At 35.6% G+C, this 24,205-nt stretch overlaps 1 protein-coding gene across 12 annotated transcripts in view, besides 3 other annotated features; it reads left to right on the forward strand.

Moving 5' to 3' along the window:
* Positions 1 to 24,205, forward strand: part of PBX3 (PBX homeobox 3) — a 220,005-nt gene that overhangs the window by 128,893 nt on the left and 66,907 nt on the right. The window lies entirely within an intron of this gene.
* Positions 2,050 to 2,643: an enhancer, noted in NCBI's record as "OCT4-NANOG hESC enhancer chr9:128640594-128641187 (GRCh37/hg19 assembly coordinates)". NCBI's record gives its function as "activates a minimal SCP1, AML or CMV promoter by ChIP-STARR-seq in naive and primed H9 embryonic stem cells {active_cell/tissue: H9 hESC(naive and primed)}" and the evidence as "EXISTENCE:reporter gene assay evidence [ECO:0000049][PMID:30033119]".
* Positions 6,918 to 8,553: an enhancer, noted in NCBI's record as "VISTA enhancer hs1017". NCBI's record gives its function as "enhancer in: forebrain[7/9]" and the evidence as "EXISTENCE:transgenic organism evidence [ECO:0001131][PMID:17130149]".
* Positions 13,467 to 13,686: a silencer, noted in NCBI's record as "silent region_20284". NCBI's record gives its function as "represses an Ori minimal core promoter by ATAC-STARR-seq in GM12878 lymphoblastoid cells {active_cell/tissue: GM12878}" and the evidence as "EXISTENCE:reporter gene assay evidence [ECO:0000049][PMID:35858748]".

The raw sequence follows: 24,205 nt of genomic DNA on the forward strand, positions 1-24,205 counted from the left end.
ATATAACAATATTATTTTCTAGTTTGTATTACAAATAGTTTTAATAATTGGCCCCTGAACAACACAGGTTTGAATTGTGTGGGTCCACTTATACTCTGATTTCCTTCCACCTCTGCCACTCTTGAGACAGCAGGACCAACCCCTTTCCTCTTCCTCCTCCTCCCCTTCAGCCTACTCAATGCGGAGATGAGGATGAAGACCTTTGTGATGATCTACTTCCACTAAATGAACAGTAAATATATTTTCTCTTCCTTGATATTTTCTTAATAACATTTTATTTTCTGTAACTTTATTGGGAGAACTCAGTATATAATATATATAACATCCAAAATAGGTGTTAATCGACTGTTTCTGTTATCAGTAAGGCTTCCAGTCAACAGTAGGCTATTAGAAGTAAAGTTTTTGGGGAGTCAAAGTTATATTCAGATTTTCAACTGTGTAGGGGCTGGTGCCTCTAACCCCTGCGTTAAGGGTCAGCTGTATTTAAATCTTGTGTTGTTATCTTACTTTTTATATGTGTATGTCTTTCTTTCTTTCTTTTTTTTTTTTTTTTTTGAGACGAAGGCTGGAGTGCAGTGGAGTGATCTCAGCTGACTGCAACCTCTACCTCCCAGGTTCAAGCAGTTCTCCTGCCTCAGCCTCCCAGGTAGCTGGCATGCCACCACACCCAGCTAATTTTTGTCTTTTTAGTAGAGACGGGGTTTCACCATATTGGCCAGGCTGGTCTCGAACTCCTGACCTTGTGATCTGCCTGCCTTGGCCTCCCAAAGTGTTGGGATTACAGGCGTGAGCCACCGTGCCGGGCACATGTATGTCTTTCTAGTGAGATTATAAACAGCTTGAGGACAGGAACAGTGTCATGCACAATTTCTCTCTCCCCTAGAGGCACACACAGATCCTTTGGGATTGGCATATAGAAGGTTTTAAATAAACATTTGTTGAATGAATGCACATTGACTTCATAAACCAAAAAATCAGAATACCGTAATAATAAAACCTTCCCTACTTAACCATGAAAGAGTCTTTTCTCATCATAAAATAAGCCTTCTCCGATTTCCATCCTGTACCCCACTTGTTTTAGACAAATCTATTTGGGTTTGCAATTTCAGCTAGATATGGCTTTCTAGTACTTCTAGGACTTGTGGCATTATAAATCATTGTAGTATCTTCTGTCACACCAGATGGCATTAGCTCTTTGTTGTGTATATCAAAGAGCTACGTAAGTGTGTAAAAACAGAGAAATTAAGAGATATGCTTAACCCATAAAATCTCTCCTTTTCTCAGTTTTCTCTTTACTAATATATTCTATTTTTTATACCGCTATATAATCTTTTTTTATCCCCCTTTTCCCAAGTTATCAATATAGTCTTTTATTCTCATCTTACTTCCACTTTACGTATCATGCTCCATAACATTTTCAGAATCTGAACCTGTCTTCAGTTCCACATTACAGTCCTACTTCTGGCCCTTGTTACTTTAGATTTGGGCATCTGTATCATCGTTAATATCATCATCAACAACATCAACAATTACTGAGTACCTATCACGTGCTGGGCACTGGGGCAGTTTGTTGTCTTACCAGATTCATCCTCAATTTGATGAGATATGAGAATTACTCTTAATCTTTTGCCTTCTTCCCAACCCCACCAGTCCTTTGGTTATTAAATTGTTTTGCTTAGAGTTCACCATCATATACCGACTGCACCTGACTAGTTAGCAGCTTTATATTCCATTCAGTGTTGTTGGTGTTTCTTGGTAGTGGAATGAGAAAAAAACACAAGGGAAAGTGCACAACCATAGTACTCTTTACTGATTTTGCCACCATTATGGTAAATTGTGATTTGTGGAAATGGAATCTCTTTTATCAAAGGTTGACTATCAGTTCCTTTTTCTGGAGAGAAGTCATTAGTTAACGCAGCTCAAGGATTTGTCTGAGAAGAGCTGCACATCAGTTAGAATGCTAATTCACTCAACTGGCAGCAAGCACAGTGAAATGACAGCTTGGAGGGGGGTAAGAGGAGTGTCTGAAAATGGCAGCAGATTGGTATTTCGAAAGGGGAGGGAAATTTCATAATGATGAATAAGAAAGATGACATTTGGTGCTCACATTTAACTTGCATTGGATGTCCATATAAGGGTCAGTATGCATAACCTCTCCTGATTAGGCCTCCGGCTGCCCAGCAGCTGACTGGGTGTATACCCTTCAGACTGTAACCAAAAGAAAGGCCTAGATAATTAGGCCAAGTTGAACTGCAGGAGGTAGCCAGCCTCTCTGCTGCCTTTTGTATATTCATGACCCAGCTTGATTGATGGAAGGACAGTGTTTGGTGACACTGTCATTTGCAAGTTGAAAGGTAGACTACAGGCTGGAGCCAAGATCAGATGTGCTTTAAAGAGTACTACAATAAACTCATTTGGATGCTGATGATGTTCACATATGCATTTCTTTGTTTCTTACTGTTTCTCAGGGACATCTGTTAATTTGTAGGAATTAGCTTGGTTTTCAGTTAAAACCTCACACTAAGTTACAGGATAGTTTTGTTTAAAAAGTTGTACAAAGTCGTTAGTGATATAAGAGGTGATGTGGGTCTCAGATGTTGTTATGTGATATTTTCACCTTCTTATGTAGGAACTTGAAGTATTTTTTTGTGTATATCTTTTAAGTGACAACATCACTAAAAGTGAGTGATTTTTTTTTTCCCATGGAAGGAGTTAAATGAAATTATTTGTGTATTTTACATATTTCAGAAATCTTAAGCACTGCTGTCAAAACTTTTCCAGTGAATGTTGCTTTTACAAAGACATGCTATTCTTTTTTTTTTTTTTTTTTGAGATGGAGTCTCACTCTGTCGCCCAGGCTGGAGTGCAGTGGTGCAATCTTAGCTCACTGCAACCTCTGCCTCCTGGGTTCAAGTGATTCTCCTGCCTCAGCCTCCTGAGTAGCTGGGACTACAGGTGCACTCCACCACGCCCGGCTAATTTTTGTATTTTGTAGTAGAGATGGGATTTCACCATATTGGCCAACCTGATCTCGATCGAACTCCTGACCTCGTGATCAGCGCACCTCGGCCTCCCAAAGTTCTGGGATTACAGGCGTGAGCCACCGTGCCCGGCCAAAGACATGCTATTCTTTATTAGAAGGTATATGAACACATAAGTTTGCTTTTAATATGATAGCCCATAGGAAAGGTCTTTTTTCATTCCAAAATCTTTTCTGTTTACTGAAAAAGTTGATTAATTTCAAACTTGTGGCAAGTGGGTTGAAAGTACTAAAAGAAGTTAGAATCATAAAACAGAAATATAGGGCTGACTTCAGGACAATCTTTAAATTGTAGAACCTAAGTTATCACAAATTATTAGAAGAATAAATGCCATATTTTGTTGATTAAAAGGACATTAAGAAAGGGAAGGGAAGATTGAGGATTATTGATGTACCAGTTTCACCAATATTAAGCTATTACTTCAATAGATCCTTTGAGGAACACCACATAGATGTGAACACTAGTTATTTTTATTTTTAATACCTTTTATTATTTAATACCTTTTATTATTTCCAAATATGCTTTTGGAAGATAGAGTTTTTCTGGTATAGCTAAATGATTATCAGTCTGAAAATGGTTTGAATACTTTCTCTGGGAAAGTCCTTAGATGTTTTATATGTTACCTAACTTCTGTTAGTTACCAGACTTCAGGTAATATACATAAAAGCTCTTTGTAAGCTATAAAGAACTATAAAAATGTAAATAGTAATAATAGTAGCTGTTGTTGACATTGTTGTCATTATTATTCTTATTATTGAGACAGAGTCTCACTCTGTTGCCCAGGCGGGAGTACAGTGGTGCAATCTCGGCTCACTGCACCCTCCGCCTCCCGGGTTCAAGCAGTTCTCCTGCCTCAGCCTCTTGAGTAGCTGGGATTACAGGTGTGCACCACCACGCCCAACTAATTTTTGTATTTTCAGTAGAGACAGGGTTTCACCATGTTGGCCAGGCTGGTCTTGAACTCCTGACCTCGTGATCCGCCTGCCTCGGCCTCCCAAAGTGTTGGGATTACAGGCGTGAGCCACTGTTCTCAACCGTCATTATTATTAACTAATTTCAGGTCGCTATAACAGACATAGCAGTGCAACAGACAAAGTACTCCTCTCATTACACTTAAGCAAAATGGCAAAGGGAGGCTTGATCAGCACTTCCAGTTATTTTCAATATTAATTATCTGACTTTTCTCTTCATCACCTGGTGCTGCAAATAGCAGTGTCTCCAGCTGACAGTAATGTTCTTGTAAAGAAAGTTCTGGAGGGTGTTGGAAACACTCTGATTACTACAGAAATCATGCTTTTTCTAAATTAATTTCAGTCTTAACTGACATTAAAGATAGGCATCTGAAATCTAGTATTCTAAGTCTGTATATTCAAAAAATCTTTTGCTGTAATTTGTGGTAATCATTTAAAAATCAAACGGTTATCTTTTAGAAAAAATTTTAATATATCCAAAATGTTAATGAAAATGTCATTTTTCTCACTTAAATCGTGTCATGATTTTCAAATGCTGGATTTTCTTTTAGAGTTTCCTTACTAAAAATTAAAAGCAAGGTGTACATTTTTTGTGCAATAAAGTAGAAATAAAAAACTGTCTTATTGAATAGAACTAGTTTTTTAAAAACAGAGTTATGCTTTCTTGAACTGCATTTAGGTGTATTGTGCATTTTACTGCTATAGAGCAATGTTCTCAATGTGTTAGTTAATGTTTTTCTCATTAAGTCTTTTCAAAACTTAAGGGTTTCACTTTGACAGGAAATTCTGGATCTTTCCCAGTGATAAAATAAACTTGACACTTGTTCCATGAAGGCATCTCTTCCTTGCTTATCAGCTCTTCAATTTATGGCTGTGCTTTGAAATTTGTGCCTGTGACTCTCATCTTTGTATTTACTCCAATTAACACATAAACCCTAATTAGCCAGATCAAGGGACTTGGGAGTCCATAAATGGAAAGTGACATGGCAGAGCTTGGCAGCTGGCATCAAGGCAAGGTGACAAAAATAGGGAAGTATCAATTAGATGACATTGATTGTAAAGCTGTGTGTTGGGATGGTAGATTTTAACAGCTCTCTGTGTCACTGGCTGCTGACTCTAGGATAGGAGTATAGGAATTAGTTGGTAAATTGACAGCTAAGTTAAAGTACTGAACTTCTGGCAGAATTTAAAAACAATAATAACTCATCACCAATTTAATTCAATTTTACATCATTATCACTGGCAATATAATTATACATTTCTACCAGAATCAATTTTTGTGAATCTCCCTGTTGATTTAGTTTCCAAATTTTTATTTTTTTACTATTTTATTATTATTATTTTTAATTATTAAAAATAGAGACAGGGTCTTGCTCTGTGTCCAAGGCTAGGGTGTAGCAGTAGGACAATAGTAGCTCCTGCATCTTGGAACTCCAGGCCTCAAGTGATGCTCCTGTCTTGGCCTCCCAAAGCCAAATTTTAAAATTATTACTTAGATGTATAGAAATCCTTGAGTCTAGACTTACAAATCCTTAAGAGCCTTAATAATTTCCTGCTCTAATGTTTTTTTGGGGAGGAGTAGTCCAATTGGGTGGATTTGGGAGGATCCATTATCATTAAGTATTTACTAAGGGCTGGGTGCAGTGGTTTATGCCTATAGTCTCTGCAATCCCAGCACTTAGGGAGGCTGAGACAGGAGGATCATTTGAGGCCAGGAGTTCGAGACCAGGCTGGGCAACATAATGAGACTTCATCTCTGCAAAATAAATAAATAAATAATAAAATAAAAATAAAAATAAAAAAATAGCCAGGTGTGGTGGCACATGCTTGTAATCCTAGCTACTATGGAGGATGAGGTGGGAGGGTTGCTTGAACCCAGGAGCTTGAGGCTGCAGTGAGCTGTGATCACTGCATTGCAGCATGGGGGACAGGGAGACCCTGTCTCACAATTTTTTTTTTTTACTAAATTCCAGACTACAGTTTTTGGATTACAGATGTAATTCAGCAATGAAAAAGTTTAGAACTTTGTAAACATTATTTCAGTTTTAGAAATCTAATGTTACAGAGAAAGACTTGTGTCTCAAATGAAGAGTTTTATCAGGCTTTGTGTATCTCTCATTACTTGAGACGGCAGTAGACGTTAAATATATAAAAGCTGAGCTGCTTCTCTGGTTTTGTAGTTTCAGCTGCCTGGTATTTAACATTGGTTCTATTTTTTAAGTGGGTGGTTGGGTATTTGTAAAGAAGGCGCTATAGGTTATTGGAAACACGCTCTCTTATCACTACAGAAATCATGCATACTTCAACAGATTTAGAATTGAATTTAGAACCAAAGAATGAAGGAGTTTATTCTTTCCTCTTAAGACTTGGTTGAAATTGTGTTGTAAATACATGTTGTCAATTGGATATTAGATGGTAGAAGTTATATATTGAGTTTCTTCATTTTGGATAGCCAATGGCTCTGTAAGCCTAGTTGGTATTTTGCCTGCATGTAGATATGGTCTGTAGTTATTCAAGCAGTGTATTTTAAACTTAGGTTTTAAACTGAAATTATTTTAGTCGCTATATACCCCCCGTTTCAAATACTGCAGAAAATGGGGAAAAGAACTCTGAAATGATGTATTTGAAAAGTTGTTGTTTTAGAGAAGTATTTGCAACATTAGAAATCTGACAGAAGGTCCATTTACATAAATGTTTAACTGAAGACACACAAACATGTAACAAAATGAAAATGTTTCATACATTAATTTGCTGCAGAAGGAACTAACATAACAATTAGAATAACATTCTGCCTACTTAGATTTAAATTTCCTAGGGCAGCGATAATACATAGTGTTGATGTAGTTTAAGTCTTTTAATATATACAATCATTTATTCTGTTGTTAAAATGAATTCTAGTGTTTTAAAACATTCAAACACGGTAAACTTAGATAACTAGAAAAAGGTGTTAGGCTTACAATTTTTAGAGATTTGTAAGTTCTCTCATCAGCTCAGAGTCTATCAGAAATACTTAAACAGTTTCTTTTCTAGCTTGGCAAAGAAATGATGTCTGTATTTTGTGATTGTGAAAATACCAGATACTGTCATGAAAACAGTGAACCTAAGTAATACAAAAGTAATCTATACGAGGCTATTTTGTTTTCTTGCCATTTTCAATCATTCTTGTCAGTGGTACTTTTTTTCATGGCCAAGTTGGTAACCTTCTTTATAAGGAACACCCTAGCAACAACTAAATATGTGCTATGACTTTTTTACACCAAGGACAGAAATTGTGAATTAAAATCAAATGGTTTCCATCCTAGTTGCGTAGCCAATCTCTTGACTTTTTTTTTTTTTCTGGGCACGCTGATCCCAGTTGCATGGTCATATGTTGTAAACCACATGGAACTATTTCAAACTGTGATGGGGAAAGTAGCAACTGCAAACATTCCTCCTTGAAGCAAGTGGTTGTCCTAAACTGAGCACTGTAGAATAAAAATGGAAACATAAAAATAGCAGTTGGAAAGATAAAACAGCATTTATAGTACTAATAAAACCATGTGGCTTCCACAGGAAAACATGCTTTGTAACCTAATGCTTACCTGAAAGGACTGTCGAGTTTCTGAGAGTTATAGCTGTTTTTGTAAGAGAAGCACAGAGATTTGCTTGAGGGCTGAGTGATAGATTCGCCTGCCTGAAGCATCCCAGTGTGTTTATACATGGCTTGTATGGCAGCTTTCATAAGACATTTACCCCATGATTTGCGATGAGCTTATGTGTGAATAATTAATGGCAATTAATCCTTAATTACAGTAATTAGGCAAGTCACAGGAAATTAAGCTGCAGCTGGAGAAGACCATGCCTGGAAAGAGAGGATTGGGGGCTGTGTGAATGTGCCATTTACTGACAGCATTACTAGGATGCGCAGTATTCAGCAGCTTTGGCATTTCTATTGGCAGCCTTGGGTAGGACAAGAGTGCTCTGCATTAGAAGCAATCTATAGTTGTCTACAAGAGTTTTAAGTTCAAGTGCCAAAATGTTGTGTTGCATATGGTGATTATCTAAGTTTATTGGTTGCCATAACTCAAATGAGTATAATTGTTTTTGGCTTGATAACAGTGACATTAGAAACAGGAGCTTTTATGCATTCATAGGTTCTGTTGGCATGAGCCATGATGCAACTTTTAGAAACAATTCATCCAGGTTTGCAATTATGAAGCAGATAATGTGATTGTCTAGAAACTGAGAGAATTTCAATCAAGAACAACAAAACCTATACTCTCTTGGTTGAGGAGTTAATTACTTTATTACTAGTTGCCTTTCCCAGTTAAGCAATGGGTAGTACACATTATACAGGAAATATTCATTGACTACATTCTCCAAATGTAGGAAAGACTGAGACTGTAAAAATTTTAAATCATTCACACTAAATGCCAACAAACACTAGTGTTGAAGAATCTAAAAAGAGTGTTTTATAAACAAGCAAAGCAACCACTCCATAGAGAGCAGCACTTCCCTGTAAGTACCTTGTAAGAGATGTTTATCCTTTATTTGGGGATGCATAACTTCTTTCATCATCTATGGGGAATTAAAAACATCATATGGCTATTGTATACCTAGATAAAAGCATGTAGAGAGAAGTATCATTATGACTTTCAATGTATTTTCATAATTAATTACAAATTTGAGCATGAGAAATATCTTCATTTGCCCATTGAATGATAATGTTTATCATTCATTTTTCTCTTTGAACTTCAGGGCACAACAAGAAGTTGGGCACACAAATTCAGCTTAGGTCAACTGTTAAAGTAACCCAGATTATGAATCTGTTACAGTCATACAGCTATTATAATAAGTAGGGTGCTCCTTGATACCAGCACAACTCTTGGGAAAAGGATGCATTTGTCAGATAAAGTAGATAAAAATACATACATAGTATTGTTTTTATAAAGGTCTGTCATATAGTTGGAGATATTTGTAATGACTTCACCTTTTGTCCTAGAAAGGAAATTTAGTTTTTCTTTCCTTTATGGTTTGTGATCATAAATATTTAGGGCAATAGGCTATTTAGGTTATTAAATGCTAAATATGCAAAGCCTCTTTTTTCAAGAATATCTTTTCTTGTAAGACCAAATTGGTAGAGAGTGAAGTTATATGTACATATATAGATTATTCCCGTCTGTACTTCTGGTTCACTTTAAAGAGGAAGTAAGTCACAATATCCTAATAATGGTCTTGATTTTATAAATGATTTTTCCCCTTGAAATAAGCAACACATTCATTTTAATATGTAGAATCAGTTTGCTAGCAGGGCGACAGTTTAAAAAGGCTTCCAACTGTGACACAAGTGCAACCATATTGCTTCCTATTACTCGCGAAGGTAGTTGTTTAGAAGAGAGAATGTTCTCCCTGGAAATGTTTAAAGTGCTGTAATTTTATTTAGGATAATGAGGATTTATAACCATTTTGCCATATGAAAACCTGCCTTTAGACAGAGTGAAATAGGCTGTTTTGGTTATTGAACGTTCTTAACTGTAGGGGATGTGTGTGTGTGTGTGTGTGTTAGTTTTACAGCAATAAGTGTTTACATTGGGGATTGTGCTGGTTTATTCTATATGTTGGCCTGTGTTAAATATTAAAATATTAAATGATACCATTTAGGTTTGGCCCATGTAAATGTTTACATTTCTTTGTACATGGGATTTCTCTGTATTGAAATGTAACTAAACAGAAAGTCTTTGTTCTTGTTTATAAAAATAATGTTAATAGTGACTGCTAGGTATCCCTGGGGCCCTGAGTCTTTGCAACTTTGCTCATGTAAGTTGTACTGGAGGAAGTTATTTTGAGTGATGGGTAGATAGTGCATGGGGAAACAGTTGTGATTAAAAAGTGTATAGCAGGATCTATGTTTTTAATATTAAGTGTGACATTAATGTAGTGTATATTATCATTAAAAACTATTCTAGAAAATGTAAATTTGACTTATTTTGTTAATGCTATATTCTATAGCACTGTCTCAAAACCCACTGTGGAATAGTTTATATAGGCCTCTGCCTCTGATATGGGAGGGGGAAGAAAGGAACACAACAGTTAAGAGATTTTTATCAGGTTTTTATCTCCTCACTGAAAATCTTAGTTCTCAAAACATTTCTAATTTCCCTCATTTGAAGGTTCAAACAGTTTCAAATTACTGCCCATGGATTGTTCTTGACATCCCGAATGGTAAATTTGAGCTGTGGAAATGCTGGAATGTGTTTTTGTGCTTTTCCTGAACAAGGGAATTCAACGGGTAAATTACAGTCATTTACTGGGAGTGTAATTTACTGAGAGCCTTTAGGCAAATGCAGGAGAAAGGACAGCAGCAGAACGGAAAAAACCAGCATAAAAACTGTTTTGTGTATTTTTTCCCTTTTCTCATTAAGTATTTATTCACATAAGAGTTTTATGAATTAATGGATGGTCCTACAATTAAGACAGATAACCTTTATTCATTTTTACCACTGATAGATCAAGTATTGAGATAGTGACTGCTGTGTGAAAATTACAACTTGAACAACATTTCTGAAAAATTTTTTTATTTTGCATTTAAATCCATGTTTGCCTTATTGAAGATTTTAAAGAGACATTACTCTGTCTTCAGAATGATTATAGACTTCACTAATTTAGATTTTCACTATACAGCAGTTCATATAATAAAAGTTTTTAATTTTTTTGGTGGACAAATTAGTAAAAAGGCTTTTCATACTTTGGTCTTGGAAAAATACTATTCTACTTTTGTCACATATCATGGAAGAATCTCATTTTAAGAAGAAGACAACCCAGACCATTTTGGTTGTATGCACAGCTTTCAACCAACACAAGATAAATAACCCAGCCATTTTATTAAATTGTTGAAGAGAAATTTTATGAAATTGTCAACTAATTCTTTATAATATAAATATATAAACATTTGTGGCAATTCTTATAAACAGTTCTGACCAATTCCTTTCATGAAAAGCAGTGTGCTCTGTAGTAATTGCTAAGCAAACAGAAAGCTGTGTTGCAAAGTGGTTTTGTATAGCATATTGTAATTTGACACTTAAGTTGTGCCCTGCATTACCCTGTGTCATAATTGATGGCTAAAGAAAAGCACACGCTATGCTAATCATTTGTTAGAATAGCTTGTTAAATTGTGGTTGCCAATTTAAAATAAACTATGGAATGCTGACTGTATTTTAAGGTTTTGTAGCCTACAGTTTTAAACAGACATTTTGAAGCTGTTTTTTAACTTTATGTTGCGTATGCACAATTCTGCCTTTGCACACAAGGTCAGCATGTTTGCCAGTTTAACAACATATTATCAAGAACAGAATCAGTGAGCTGCAGGTTTCACATCAGTATCTCAAGGGACTTTTCTGTGTATTTTTGTTTTTTGTGTATTGATCCTAAATTTGGTATCTTTTTAAAAACAGTAAAATTGATATACATGAGATTTTAAGTTCTTAAAAGTAAAAAGTTCCAGAATTAGAAAGCTAATTTAGTTGTTATTAGAAAGTAAGGGTAAATTTATCTCATGTTTATCAAGCATAGTGTCTGGACATAAAGCAGCATTTGTTAATATAGAAGTTATTAACTACAAAATGCCAATAAGAATTTTACTGCAGTAAAATGAGATTCAGGAGATAGATTACTGTGCATAATCAGCTTGTGAATTCTCATTTCTTAAGTGCAAATGTGTGATGAATCAGTTATATCATGTAAAGAGAGAGGAATCCAAACTTGGTGTGAATGTTGACTTACATGATAAGTGTAATAGATAGACTTCTACTACTAGTAAAAGAACTGAAGCATGGTGAGGAATATGTGCATTTAGACGTAAAAGAAATGTTACCTCTGTGGAGAAAAATGATTTAATGTGGGTTATTCATTTTTAAGAGATTAAAAATGACTTGAATATAATACCTTTAATTTGTAATAATGGTCTGACGGGCTGCTTCCTGTCTAAAGTAAACCTTTTGATCGGCATGTCCATTTTGATCTCTTCTGTCGTGTAGTGTACTGAATTATTTTCAGTTATTGTACCTATATTTAATTAAGCCAGTAAAGACATGCAGATGGATTTAGCTCTCAATCATTTAGTAGACAAATACGTGTAAGGTTATTCTGTAGCATACAATTGACCCTTTGTATGGAGGAATTCCTTGAGAACATTCAGGATTAAGTCACTCTGCTGTAGGAGAGGAGAGGCGGCATACATGCTTTACCAGAAACAGATGCTCTCACTTGATGGCATTTTTTTGGGAGGGATACGATTTGATATTTCTTTTTTTTTTTTTGGCCGTTTGTTTTCTAATGTATTTCCTCTCCTAGATTGGGTACAAACTTAGTAAAGTTTTGGACTTGATTACTTACTCATTATAAAAACAGCATTAATGAAACTGGTAATTAATTTGTTCATAAATTTATAATGCCCTGTTTCAGTCTAAATGAATTCTAGTAACTGTTTATATTTGAGATATAAATTCTTAATTTTTAAAATAATTTTTATGGCAGGCCAATATAGTAGTCTGGACTGGAAAGTGTAAGCAGGATTGGGTGCTAATTTAGGTCAGGCTGCATTCAGATTTGGGAAGTCACCTTTTCAGCTCCTTTGGAAAAGAGGACACATCCAATATGGAATATTCTGGATGATTATGAGTATGAAGTGAAAATGTTTTTCCAAAAATGTACATTTTTGGGTGTAAAATATGCTTTGGGAATTTACTCTTTTGACTTTTAGGTATTCTCACCCACAGCAGGTTATGAAAGGGAAAAGTCAGTGACCACGTATTACAATAAAATGGCCTTAACGTAATTTGGAAGTGGATAACAGCCCTATACACCAGACACCTTATTGCAAGGCTCTTAGCATCCCCAGGAACGTAGGCCTTAATTTCAGTTAAGTGTGGGTTCGCCCACATCCCCGTGGTTTCTTGGAATAACTCACTGACCCGTGGAGAGCTGTCTCCTGGTCCGGGCCTTTCCCTCTCTGGCTGTGGGCTGTTGAAGGGCGTCTGCACACGTGGGGAGCAGGGGCGCTTGCACACGCACGGGCCGAGCCACGGCTCGCTTGGCAGTGCACACACGCAGCGGCCTCGCCCCTTTCCTCCGGTCCCGAGTTCTGCATAAAGATGTGTTAGAAATCTCGTTCCTAAAGGATCTAGAACGATAAATAATGGATGTATGGGAGCTCGGTTTAAGCTCGAATTTTCTTTCCTCAGTAGTTTTTGTTCTCAGTCACCTTGATGAAACAATCTTGAAGCCGCTCCGCTCTCAGTGGCATTTGCAATGAGTCCCTGACAGGCTGATTTTCCACCCCTGTTGTGATGCTGCTTTCTCTAGTTAATATTCCTGTGTAAGTGTCGCACAAAAGTAAACCCAAAGAGCCCGCACATGACACGGAGGCTGCTCCATTTACATTAATTATGCAGTCAGGGCGGTGAGAATTCGCTGTCAGCCAGCAGGGCGGGGGCGCGCCGCGGCGGGGAGCGGGGCCGGGCCGCGGGGCCTCCCGGCGCGAACGCGGGAGGGGGAGCCGGATCGCCGTCCGCCGCTCCGCGGCTCCGCGCTGCGAGAACAATGGGCGCGCCCGACGCCCGCCCGCGCTCGCGCTGCCCGGCGCGCCCCGAAAGCCGCGGGGCAGAGCGCCCTGAGCGGTCCCCCGCGCCGGCGGCCCCGGCTGCGCCCCGCTGTAGCAGCTGACCTTAGCCGGCTGCGGCCGAGAGAACGCGCGTTGCCCGCCGACCTTGTGCCCTGGGGTCAGCACCCACTGCAAGTCAGAACCTCTCCGTGGTCCCAAAGTTAGTGCTTTTCCAATCCAAACCAGAAACTTGATTTGAGGCCTGGCGATGGTAGAGGATGCATTTTCTTGATTTCAAACATCTGGGCTGCTGCCGACTCCGGTTTCTCAGAGGAGGACTGCATAACCACCATGTGAACATTTTCAACAGATAGGAAAAAATTCCCAACCAGCTTCAAAACAATGGTGGTTGAGAAAAAAATAACTAAGCCTTCACCATAAGTATGAAACATCATCTGGGAGGTTTTCCCACGGTAATTGGCTCTGAAGTATCCTAACTTAATGGTTGTGTTTTTCAACGGGAGACTGAATTCCAAAGGGAATTCCACAGGGAATTTAAATGTACAAACATTTTTTGAGTACCTACTATGTCCTAGGTGATGGGAAATTATTACCTCATTATTACTGGTTGGAAAACATTCCAGAAAACCAAAATTATTGCTCTTTCCAGGATTTAAATACGGACACCATAGAAAGATTGCTGTTGTCACCACTGCCTTCCCCCATCCCACCCCCAGTGACTTGGCTCTAGTCAAGAAATATTGGGGATGGTGGGGAGGATAAATGTGCTTTCTCTATTCTTTTTATACTTTTAAAGAATATCAGCAAAGATTATTGTGCAGTATTTCTACAATGTAGTGTATGCATCTAATTGTGTGGGAGTAGAATTGTATGTTTGCAAGGAATGACTAGCCAAATATCAGAGCCAGCAGAACAACAGAGCACTGAGATTTGAAAAGATTAAAAAAAGAAGCCTTGCCCCTTTTTAGATTAACAAAACAGTTCCATGGTAATATTTTGTGCTTTTCTTTAAAATAAAGGATTGTGTGCACAGCATTTAATGAGTAAATCCTGTCAAATTTGGCCAGGAGCAATCACACTGAAAATTTTTCCAAAAGGAACTAGGCCATCCTTTCAAGGCCATGTGTAGTTGCCAACCATGATAACATTTAGCTCTGTCCTAGCCAAAGTCATAATTTCTGAAGAAACCAGTCTAGTACCTTTATCTTTTTCTTTCTTTCTATGTATGAAATAGATAACATGTATTACTTTAAAAATGTTTACTCTTTTCTGACGTTTGTACTATGCACTGGTTCCAAAAATGAACTATTTTCAAAAACAAATGACATTTGCTTCCTTGGCCTATAAGGAAAACATTGATCTTTCCCATATAATACATATTTTAGAAGTCACTTTTAAGTACTTACAATTTATTATTATAGATAACCGTTTATTTTCTCAAGTGAAATATATAAAGATGCAACTATCTAAAATGAATGCCAAATCATTAGAAGTTGATATCTGACCATTTGTGACTTAGAAAATGGCAGTTCCGTGAGGTTCAGTCAAATGGACAGTATTGGTAACAGGAAAATGAAATGAAAAAGCAGAGAGGAAAGTACTTAGGTACTTACAGCCATTGTGTAAAAATGTATGGATGTACAAAAGATTGCAATGTGATGTTACACAAATAGAATAAAATGTTTATAGAGTTAATTTTTTCTCCTACTACGTTGCTTGAACTCACAATGAAAGAAAAATTCAAAAGTTTGTTTTCTTTTAAGCCTTAGGAAAAACATCTCTATTCTTTAAAAATGACAAAGTTAAAAACATATACCAAATTTAGCCATTTAACCATGAGCCCTTGGAATTTTAACCATGTGTATCTATGTATCATTATCTGTACATATCCTAAGTATGTAGTCCCAGAATTTTGTATTTTGACTCTGTTTCTATTCTATTTAAGAGTTAAGGGACTACTATTATGTGCATTTCATCTTTAATTTTACCCGTATGTAAAGGGAGCTTCCGAAATTAGGCCTACCTGTTCAATCAGCATTTTATTTTATTTTATTAATTTTTTTGAGACGGAGTCTCACTCTGTCCCCAAGGCTGGATGCATTGGCGTGATCTCGGCTCACTGCAACCTCTGTCTCCCAGATTCAAGCAATTCTCCTGCCCCGGCCTCCCGAGTAGCTGGGATTACAGGCACTTACCACCATGCCCGGCTAATTTTTGTATTTTTTTTAGTAGAGATGAGGTTTCACTATGTTGGTCAGGCTGATCTCCAACTCCTGACTTCAAGTGATTTGCCCACCAAGGCCTCCCAAAGTGCTGGGATTAGAGGCATGAGCCACCACTCCTGGCCTCAATCAGCATTTTAATTGGAACTGTATTTACAACTATGGCTCAACTTTTTTTCTACCCATTCAGAACAGTTTGTATCGTAATATCATTTACATAATGGTTTGCTTTTGATGCTATCATCTGTGAGATTTTTATCTCTGAGATAAATTTCCAAAATAAGTTAATTTTTAAAATCAGAAAGCAGAAGTGATAAATTATGAATATATTTATTTTAAAAATATTTAAATAAGATACCCACCAAAAAAATCATATTCTTACATGGTATCATTAGCTTTGACATCACTGTATGGTGCCAGATTATAGTGATATGAAGCTTATGATACTATTTCACATTTTTATGCACTAAATAAAACCTGCCCTGTGTTTTATTACAAAGTAGGTGGCCTGAAGGAAAAATATATGTATTCTTTCCTTTTGGTATAAAATATGCATTTGGGCTTCTCATTTCATCCCCAATCTGTGTTATTCCTTAAAAATGCAGAACTGCCTGAAGTCCTCTTTAATATTTAATTCAACAACTTTTTAATCTGTCATTATGCTGTGATGAAGTAAGCATCAAGTGTCGCTGAAAGAGATTAAATTATACTTGGAAATAGGAATTGAAATGATTTAGGTTTGGAGGCTGAATATTTGCTTTGCACAAGTAATAATAATAGTAGCTTGGGTGAAGAAGGGCTTTGGTTTGGCTTTAATGTCTTTGCCTCGCTGTGCTCCCCTGTGGCTCCCCCTGATTTACGCTAGCATTACAGAGCTTTATTTTATTTAAATGGAGGTAGAAAGTGGAAATTACTACACTACAATACATTAATTACTCCATACTATTTCTTTGTACTGATTTCCCTTTTTTCTGTAAACATCATAAACAATGGTGCAACCTACCCAATGGATAGCAGCTGTAAGCAATCCTGTAGTTCTTGTTAACAAGCTTATTTTAGAGAGGAAAAGCAGTAATAATTAATATCAGTCTATACCAATAGTGAGAAGCAAAGAACATTTATGCTTTCCCTTTCATAGGGAATGATGTCCTACATAAGAATAAGTTGTGACAGTATATGTTAATATTTTAACTGTTGCATTTTACTTCTTGCTTTTAAAATCGAGACTTTAATCTGTGGACTCTTTTGCACTTAGAGACAAAGGTATAAACTTTCAGACTTCTTAGGGGTTCTTGAGTTGCTCAACAGGTGATGAATAAAGGCTAAACTCTTTGGAGTACTACTGGGCTGTGCATATCTTCAGATCTTCTGTCATCTGGAAATCTATCCAGTGGCTTCTGGCTGCCCAGGCTACACGAGGCCAAAGCAATCAGTGTTTAGTGGAGAAAACTAATTGAGAAATTATTTGATCAAATACACAGAAGAGCCCCATGTGATTGTTTGAAAGAATGCTGTATTTCATTTTTATTGTAATGCATGTGCATTGGTGGCTTATATGTATACTCTGGCTCTGTCTGTAATGAATGTCTTCAAAACATACCTTCATTTGTCATGATTTGGCATGTTGATGGTCCTTTTCAGAATAAGCCTGAAAATAGATGAAAATCTTGATGTGCAGCACACCTGTTAGAACATTCACGCTTAGGAATCCAGTGTATCTGTATTTCAGATGTGCACTTCCCTAGCATTATGGCTTATCATAGAACAATAATAAAGAGAAAGGGCCTCCTCCTTACTTTTTCAAAACATTCTAAGTGAGATACAAACTTACTGCAGTAGGTTCAGAGTGATCTATTAACTCCTCAGATTAAAAAAAAAAAGTAAAGCTGGCAAAATGTTTTTAAGCTCACAGTTTTTGTTACCTGTTTCTATTATATATCACCATGGCTACATATAGTTGCACAAAGCATAAAACACTTGAAAAAGTACAAAAGGCATTTTGTAAATAGTATATTTTTTACAGAAACTATTTTTTGTTGGCAGCTTGAATTAATTTTATACCCTGCATGATTGGATATCCTGAATATTCACTTATTTACTTTGTCAGTGAATACCCAAGCCATAGAAGGTGGGACAACTGTGTGAGCAGCATTCATTAAATACTCACTTCCATTAAATATTTGAAAATAAAGTTCTGTTGTTTTCGACAGTAAATTACTTTGTTGTAGTTTATAAATATATACTTAGAGAACTGAGTCCATAGATTTATGATTTAATGTTTTGATCTAGGATAACCTTTTAAAATAAATCCATTTTTTAACAGTTGGTCTCTGTTTGCCCACATAATGTTATTCCTATTAAGATATGCATTTGTTAACATGTGCCTGTTTTTTTTGCTCTAGCACAAGACTAGTTGCTTTTCTGAAACCTAGTGTGCTTGTAGGGTAAAGTAAATGCATGTCTTTGTAGAAGAATAAATAAAAAGAGCAACCTGAGTCAATAAGTGGGTTCAATTCATGCCTACAGCCATGGCGGACAGCTCATTTTGTAGATGTGGGTGTTTTGTTTACATTTATAATGCAGCTTTATTTAATGCTGACAGATATAGCTTGTGGCAAATGATAGTCAGAATGTATGAGCAGTCATAATGCTTCTGTCTTCTTATAGTGTGCTGCTGAAAATAAGCAGTTCACCTCTGTTTTTATTGAGGAAAGGATATGAGACAGCTATAGCTTCGTGAGGCTATTTATTGAGTTGTTTTACTAGCTGTGAACATGCCGCTTTATAGCAGTTGTGAAAATGGACTTTGCTAGTGTGTGGGAAAGGAAATAACATTGCAGTATACAAGGGTAGTAAAAAATCTCTATAAATAATTTTTCAGACTGAGGAATATTCTCATTTAAACAGGCAGAATGGGTCGTGATTTTGGGTAGGTGTCAGTCTCCTCAAAAAAGTCACTGGGTTGGGATTCATCATATAATTCAGAGAAAATTTTGATTCTCTAAGATTTAATTGTGTTAGAACTTAAGAAGTTTGTGTTTATACATCCACCTAGATTTGGCACAGCATTGTGACCTTTGGGGCTTACAGATTTGTGTTAACTGGCTTAAGGATATAAATGATAAAATGTGCAGTAGCCTGCATGTATGTGTGATAAGACATACCTGTAAGCTAATTAATACTATGTTATTTAAGAATGTACACATGATAGAGAAACCTATTTTCACATACTGTTTATGTATACAGTTTACAGAATTCAGATGTGTAAGTAGCACACAATTGATATACAAATTTTGAAGTATTGGTGTTTTGACCCTAAGGATTTATTATTCCAAATAACCCAAAGGAAGTGACAAACTACCACAGAATTTAAACTTGCATTTTCTTTCACCCCTTGGAAATTATAGGTACTCAGTACACCTGGAGCTTTTAGCGCTACAACGAACTTTTGGTTTTTATACTAGTTTCCTTTTTCATCCACTAAATCTGTCCAGGTCTACTAAAGCTTTTTGATGTAAGTTATTTATTGGCTACCATAATTGTGATAGATATAATACTTTTTATTCTTAAACATAAAAAGAAGAGCATTAGAGCTGTACTTATTTGAAATTTTATTACTTTTCTATTTTATTCAAATGTTCATCATACAGCAGTAAGAAGGTACGCAAATAATATTTTCATGCATACAAAATAATTTAGAAAGCAGTGTGAATCTCAGCAGGTGTTTCTTCCATGTCTGTGTTCAAATTTCTAGGGAACACTGAATATTAAATTGAAATAACCTTCCCTTGATATTATGCAGTTAAAGTTCAGTTTAATTCTCAGATAAGGTTTTCCTGGACACATATCATTTTCCTCTCATGTAAATAAAAATCACACTACTTAGATTTTAATACTTGCTACTTTACAAAGTAAATCAAACTGCTGCAAAATACTCACTTATTCCCTTTCTTAGTGCTTTTATTAAGGCATTTCTGTTACCACTAAATATATGGATTATAGAGATGCTGTAAAAATGTTCTTATTTCCTTCTCCACTGGCTGATGAAATGGGTTAATCTCTCAATAGAGCTATTTCCTTAATTCACCACCTGTTTTCAAATCCCTAGTAACCGACAAGGTAAGCAGAGAGATTCCTCTGTGTGTGCCTTATGTACCTATTTCACAGAGAGAAACCTAGAATAAAAAAAACTAAGACAAAAATCTTCCTTGAATTTTTTTAAGGGAAAGTTCTTGCACATTTCAAAAAAACTGCCATATTTAAATTATCCTTCAGCAGCCCAATTATGTTGCCTACCAGGCATCCTTACAGTGGAAATTTCCAACTCAAAGGGCATACCTCTACATAAAGTATATTTATTGCCTTTTTAAAAATGCCCATTTTCTTTCCCGCATATTGTGATAATGTGATAGGGTTGTAACTAATGCAATTTTTATATTTTTGATTTAGAAACAAAGGAACTGATTTGATACTCGTAAAACTAAATGTGTGCTTGGCTGTTATGGTTAGGATGTCTCAACTGTATATAAGTAATCATTTATTGTTTAAATACAGAAGAGGCTGTAACAAAATGCTGTCAAGAGCCATCACACTCATTAACCTGCAAGCTAATTAGCCTCCTCCTGCCTGATTGCTGACAAGTTCTTCAATCTGAACCCATTGCTGTTGTGTCAGCAGAGAAGCAGAGTGAGGTAGAGGAGGTCTCCATTAGATGTTTGTGAACAAAGTCTCTGCATTAAAGGTTTGTTTTTTACACTCTAACAAATGTTAGAACATTCATATCCCCAGCTATAATTAAATTGGCAACTCTTAATTACTGTAATTAGTATATTAACTGTTTCCTTTCCTGTTCATCTATAATTGATTTCAAGAAATTACATGTAATTTAATGTGATTTTAAAAATTTAATCATTGTTTAAAAGGTTTCAATAGTTAAATATATATCTAAATGCTATTGACTTTTGGAAATAATATGCATAGTAAAATCACTTAAATACAGTGTCTTGTCAAAGCCATTTCATGTGGGCTTTATATTCATTTGTGGTTTTTTTTTTTTTTTTTTTTTCCTGTGCAAACATGACATTCATTCGCATTAGAATTTTTTTCCTGTTAGGCTAACATTTCTTAACTAGGTTGCAGATTAGCATTGGAATGATAGGACATTTTGCAAATGTATCTTAAAATATGAATTCATTAATTTGTGGAAGACTAATTCATTTAGAATAGCTTCTTGAGGGCAAAAAACATTCGTAAGACAGTTTGCTTGTTATGCCATCCAATCAAACTGAAGAACTTATTAAGAGTACCAGAAAGAATAGAGTACATTTTGGATTGGCAAATGATCTGAGTGTGAAGTGATGAAGCCTTTTCTGGATTCTCAAAATTATCACTATTATCTCATTCTGGCCAATGTTAATTACAATTTTTCTTTAAAATATTTGCATCATTCTCAACAAATTAGTTAGAAGACTAAACCATTCTAAAATGTCACACACACCAGCAAAATGTATTCACATGTCTAAAAAACCACATACTAAAATTTATTGTACTTCTAGTTTATATAGGGAAAACTGCTATTTGAGGGCATCTGATTTAAAAGTATTGGATTGCAGTAAGAAACAGCATTAAAGTTTATGGGAGCTTTCCATAGAAGTGCATGTTTGCTCTGTATTAGACATGGCCAGAATTATCATTCTCATAGCGTCCTGTAACTACATGAATATATATTTACCACTAGCCGACTTAACTAAGCCCTAATTAAGGACTGAGTGTTTTAATAAAATTTAAAGTATACTTATTTCACTTAGTCATTCTTAAAATAATTAAGATACTAATGCGACTTACTTTAATTGAAGAATTACCCAATATACTACAAAATACATCCTTCTTTAACGGATATGGCCATTTAAATATAGTAATCTACACATAAGAATTCTAACTTGAGCCTCAAGTCAACAGTAAATAATTATGATGGAATTGATAAATAATGAGGTCCCTGCTTGCCCTTTAGTTCTTTGGACCTGTGGTCTCTTAGCTAGAAAAAACAGATTTGAGCTCATGAAGCAGTGGTTTTGCATTTTTAGAATAAAATTTATCAGTTGGAAGCTACTATTCTCACCAGTAAGGTTGCCATTTCTCAACCTCTCCCGACCTCTACCTCTCTTCCCTAGCACAGCCTGATTCTGATAAAAGAGCAAACTTTTCCCAGAAATTTTCACAGTCTCCTTTGGATTGTGATGCACCCTATGTTTTAGGGAATTTAGTATAATAATGATTCCCATTTGCTTTAGATAGTAAATGAAATACATTTTTTGTGTTCAGCCTGGGCAGTGTAGCAGGACCCCATCTTCTGAAAAAAAAAAATAAAAAAAAGGGCCTTTTGAATTTTAGGGCCCATTTCAGAATCATTAGGCCTCTTATTATAGTTTGTGGTTATAATGTCAGAGATTCCTGACTAAATTCTGAACTGGTTCAGGAACGTATGGAACATCTAGCTCAGCCCTCTCATTTGATAGATGAGGGAAATTAAACTCAGGGGAGGCATGACTTGCCCAAGGCCATACAACCAAATAACAGAGCAGATATGAAGTGAAGATACAGAATGCTGAACCTCTAGTCTAGTCCTCTGTTTTATAAATTCGAGTTGTAGCAGATTGATTTAGTACATTCTTTTGGATATTCATGATTGTTTTTATTACAGTTATTTCACATTGAATGTTAAAGTTGTTTAAACATATGAGTACAATTTTTTAAATGAGTACAAATTTATTGTTTAAAGTAGATGGCTAAATTCATGTAAAACATTAAATCTTTTGGAAGAACACACAAGTAATGAAATAGAAATGGTTGAATTTGGAACTGATGGGTATGAAAACAAAAACAAAAACAACTCTCAGAAACCCATTTTGACATCAGGAGGTGTTTTTCTCCAATAAGTCGTTTGGTAAAAGAAACATCTGTGGTGTTGAAAGGAATGCTGCTGCTGTGCTTCTAAGGAAGCTAAATTGTTTTCCAAAAAACTTATGAGATGATAGTCTTTTATGTCATATGCTAGTTTGTTTTCTCCCTTATTGTGTACTTCACATTCTTTAGATGATATATATATTTATAAATATACATATGTATATATATTTATATATAAATATACATATGTATATATATTTATATATAAATATACATATGTATATATATTTATATATAAATATACATATATGTATATATTTTTATATAAATATATACATATATGTATATATTTTTATATAAATATATACATATATGTATATATTTTTATATAAATATACAAATATATGTATGTATATATATGTATGTCTATATATATGTGTGTATATATATATATAGAGAGAGAGAGAGAGAGAGAGAGAGAGAGAGAGCTCACCCACAGGCAGGGGAGGTTATTGTCAGAGGGTAGGTACATGAAGAGAGGGGAGTAGAGCACAAATCAAACAGCTTCAAAATGCAGTTGATAGTCTTACAGCATTTTGGTCAGCTGGTGAAGATTTCAGTACCTCAGTTGGCAGAACATCATATAGACTCTCCTTCACTCTGCGGTTTCTGCAAAGTTAGGATTAGAGCAAGGAGACTTCATTTTAAAAAGAAAAGATAATTTGTCCAAACACTTCATGTGAAAATAAATTATTTGAATTTTGGTACATCTTAAGTGACAAAGGTAATATTTCCTATTAAATTTATATGTGCTTGTCTAGAAGTAATTGAGAATTGGAGGCATTATTTTTTGTAAAACTGTGTTGATATTGGTTTAGCAACTCTGTATATGTAACGAATAAAGAAAAGAGCCCCCCAAAAGTATTTCATTTATAAACCAGAGTAATTCTGAATGTTTATAGTAATGGGAGATAACCCAAGGCAAATTTAATTTTAGATTGGGCTTTTGCTTAATGTATTATTCATAGTATTGTATCATCAGTTAAGCATATCTCTGACAATAAACTTAAAACTTAACTTTAATAGTAATATCCACCCTAATTTGGGTGAGTCAAATAGTGACCCGACATGATTTATTTTGCCTCTTTATTGTAGATAATTTTTTAATAATGATAGGATGGAGTTATTTGGTATGCCTTTCTCATTCTTAAACACCCCTCCCCCCACATCCCGCCCTTTTTTTTTTTTTTTTAACACTTTACCATTTTTGCTGCATGACCTGGTTTTGCATTTTTCTGATTCTCTGTTCATCTAATTAGTATGTTCTAAAAAGACCTGGACCACTTATTGTACAGAGATGTAGCCTGTGGGTATTTAATAAGGAGCTTTCAGTGCTACATTTGCATCTTTTGCTTGGGGTCTGAATAGTGAATTACCTTTAAGATCATTAGAAGCACTGCTGTATTGTTA

The sequence above is a fragment of the Homo sapiens genome, chromosome 9 (genome assembly GCF_000001405.40).
Source record: "Homo sapiens chromosome 9, GRCh38.p14 Primary Assembly".
Taxonomy (NCBI): domain Eukaryota; kingdom Metazoa; phylum Chordata; class Mammalia; order Primates; family Hominidae; genus Homo; species Homo sapiens.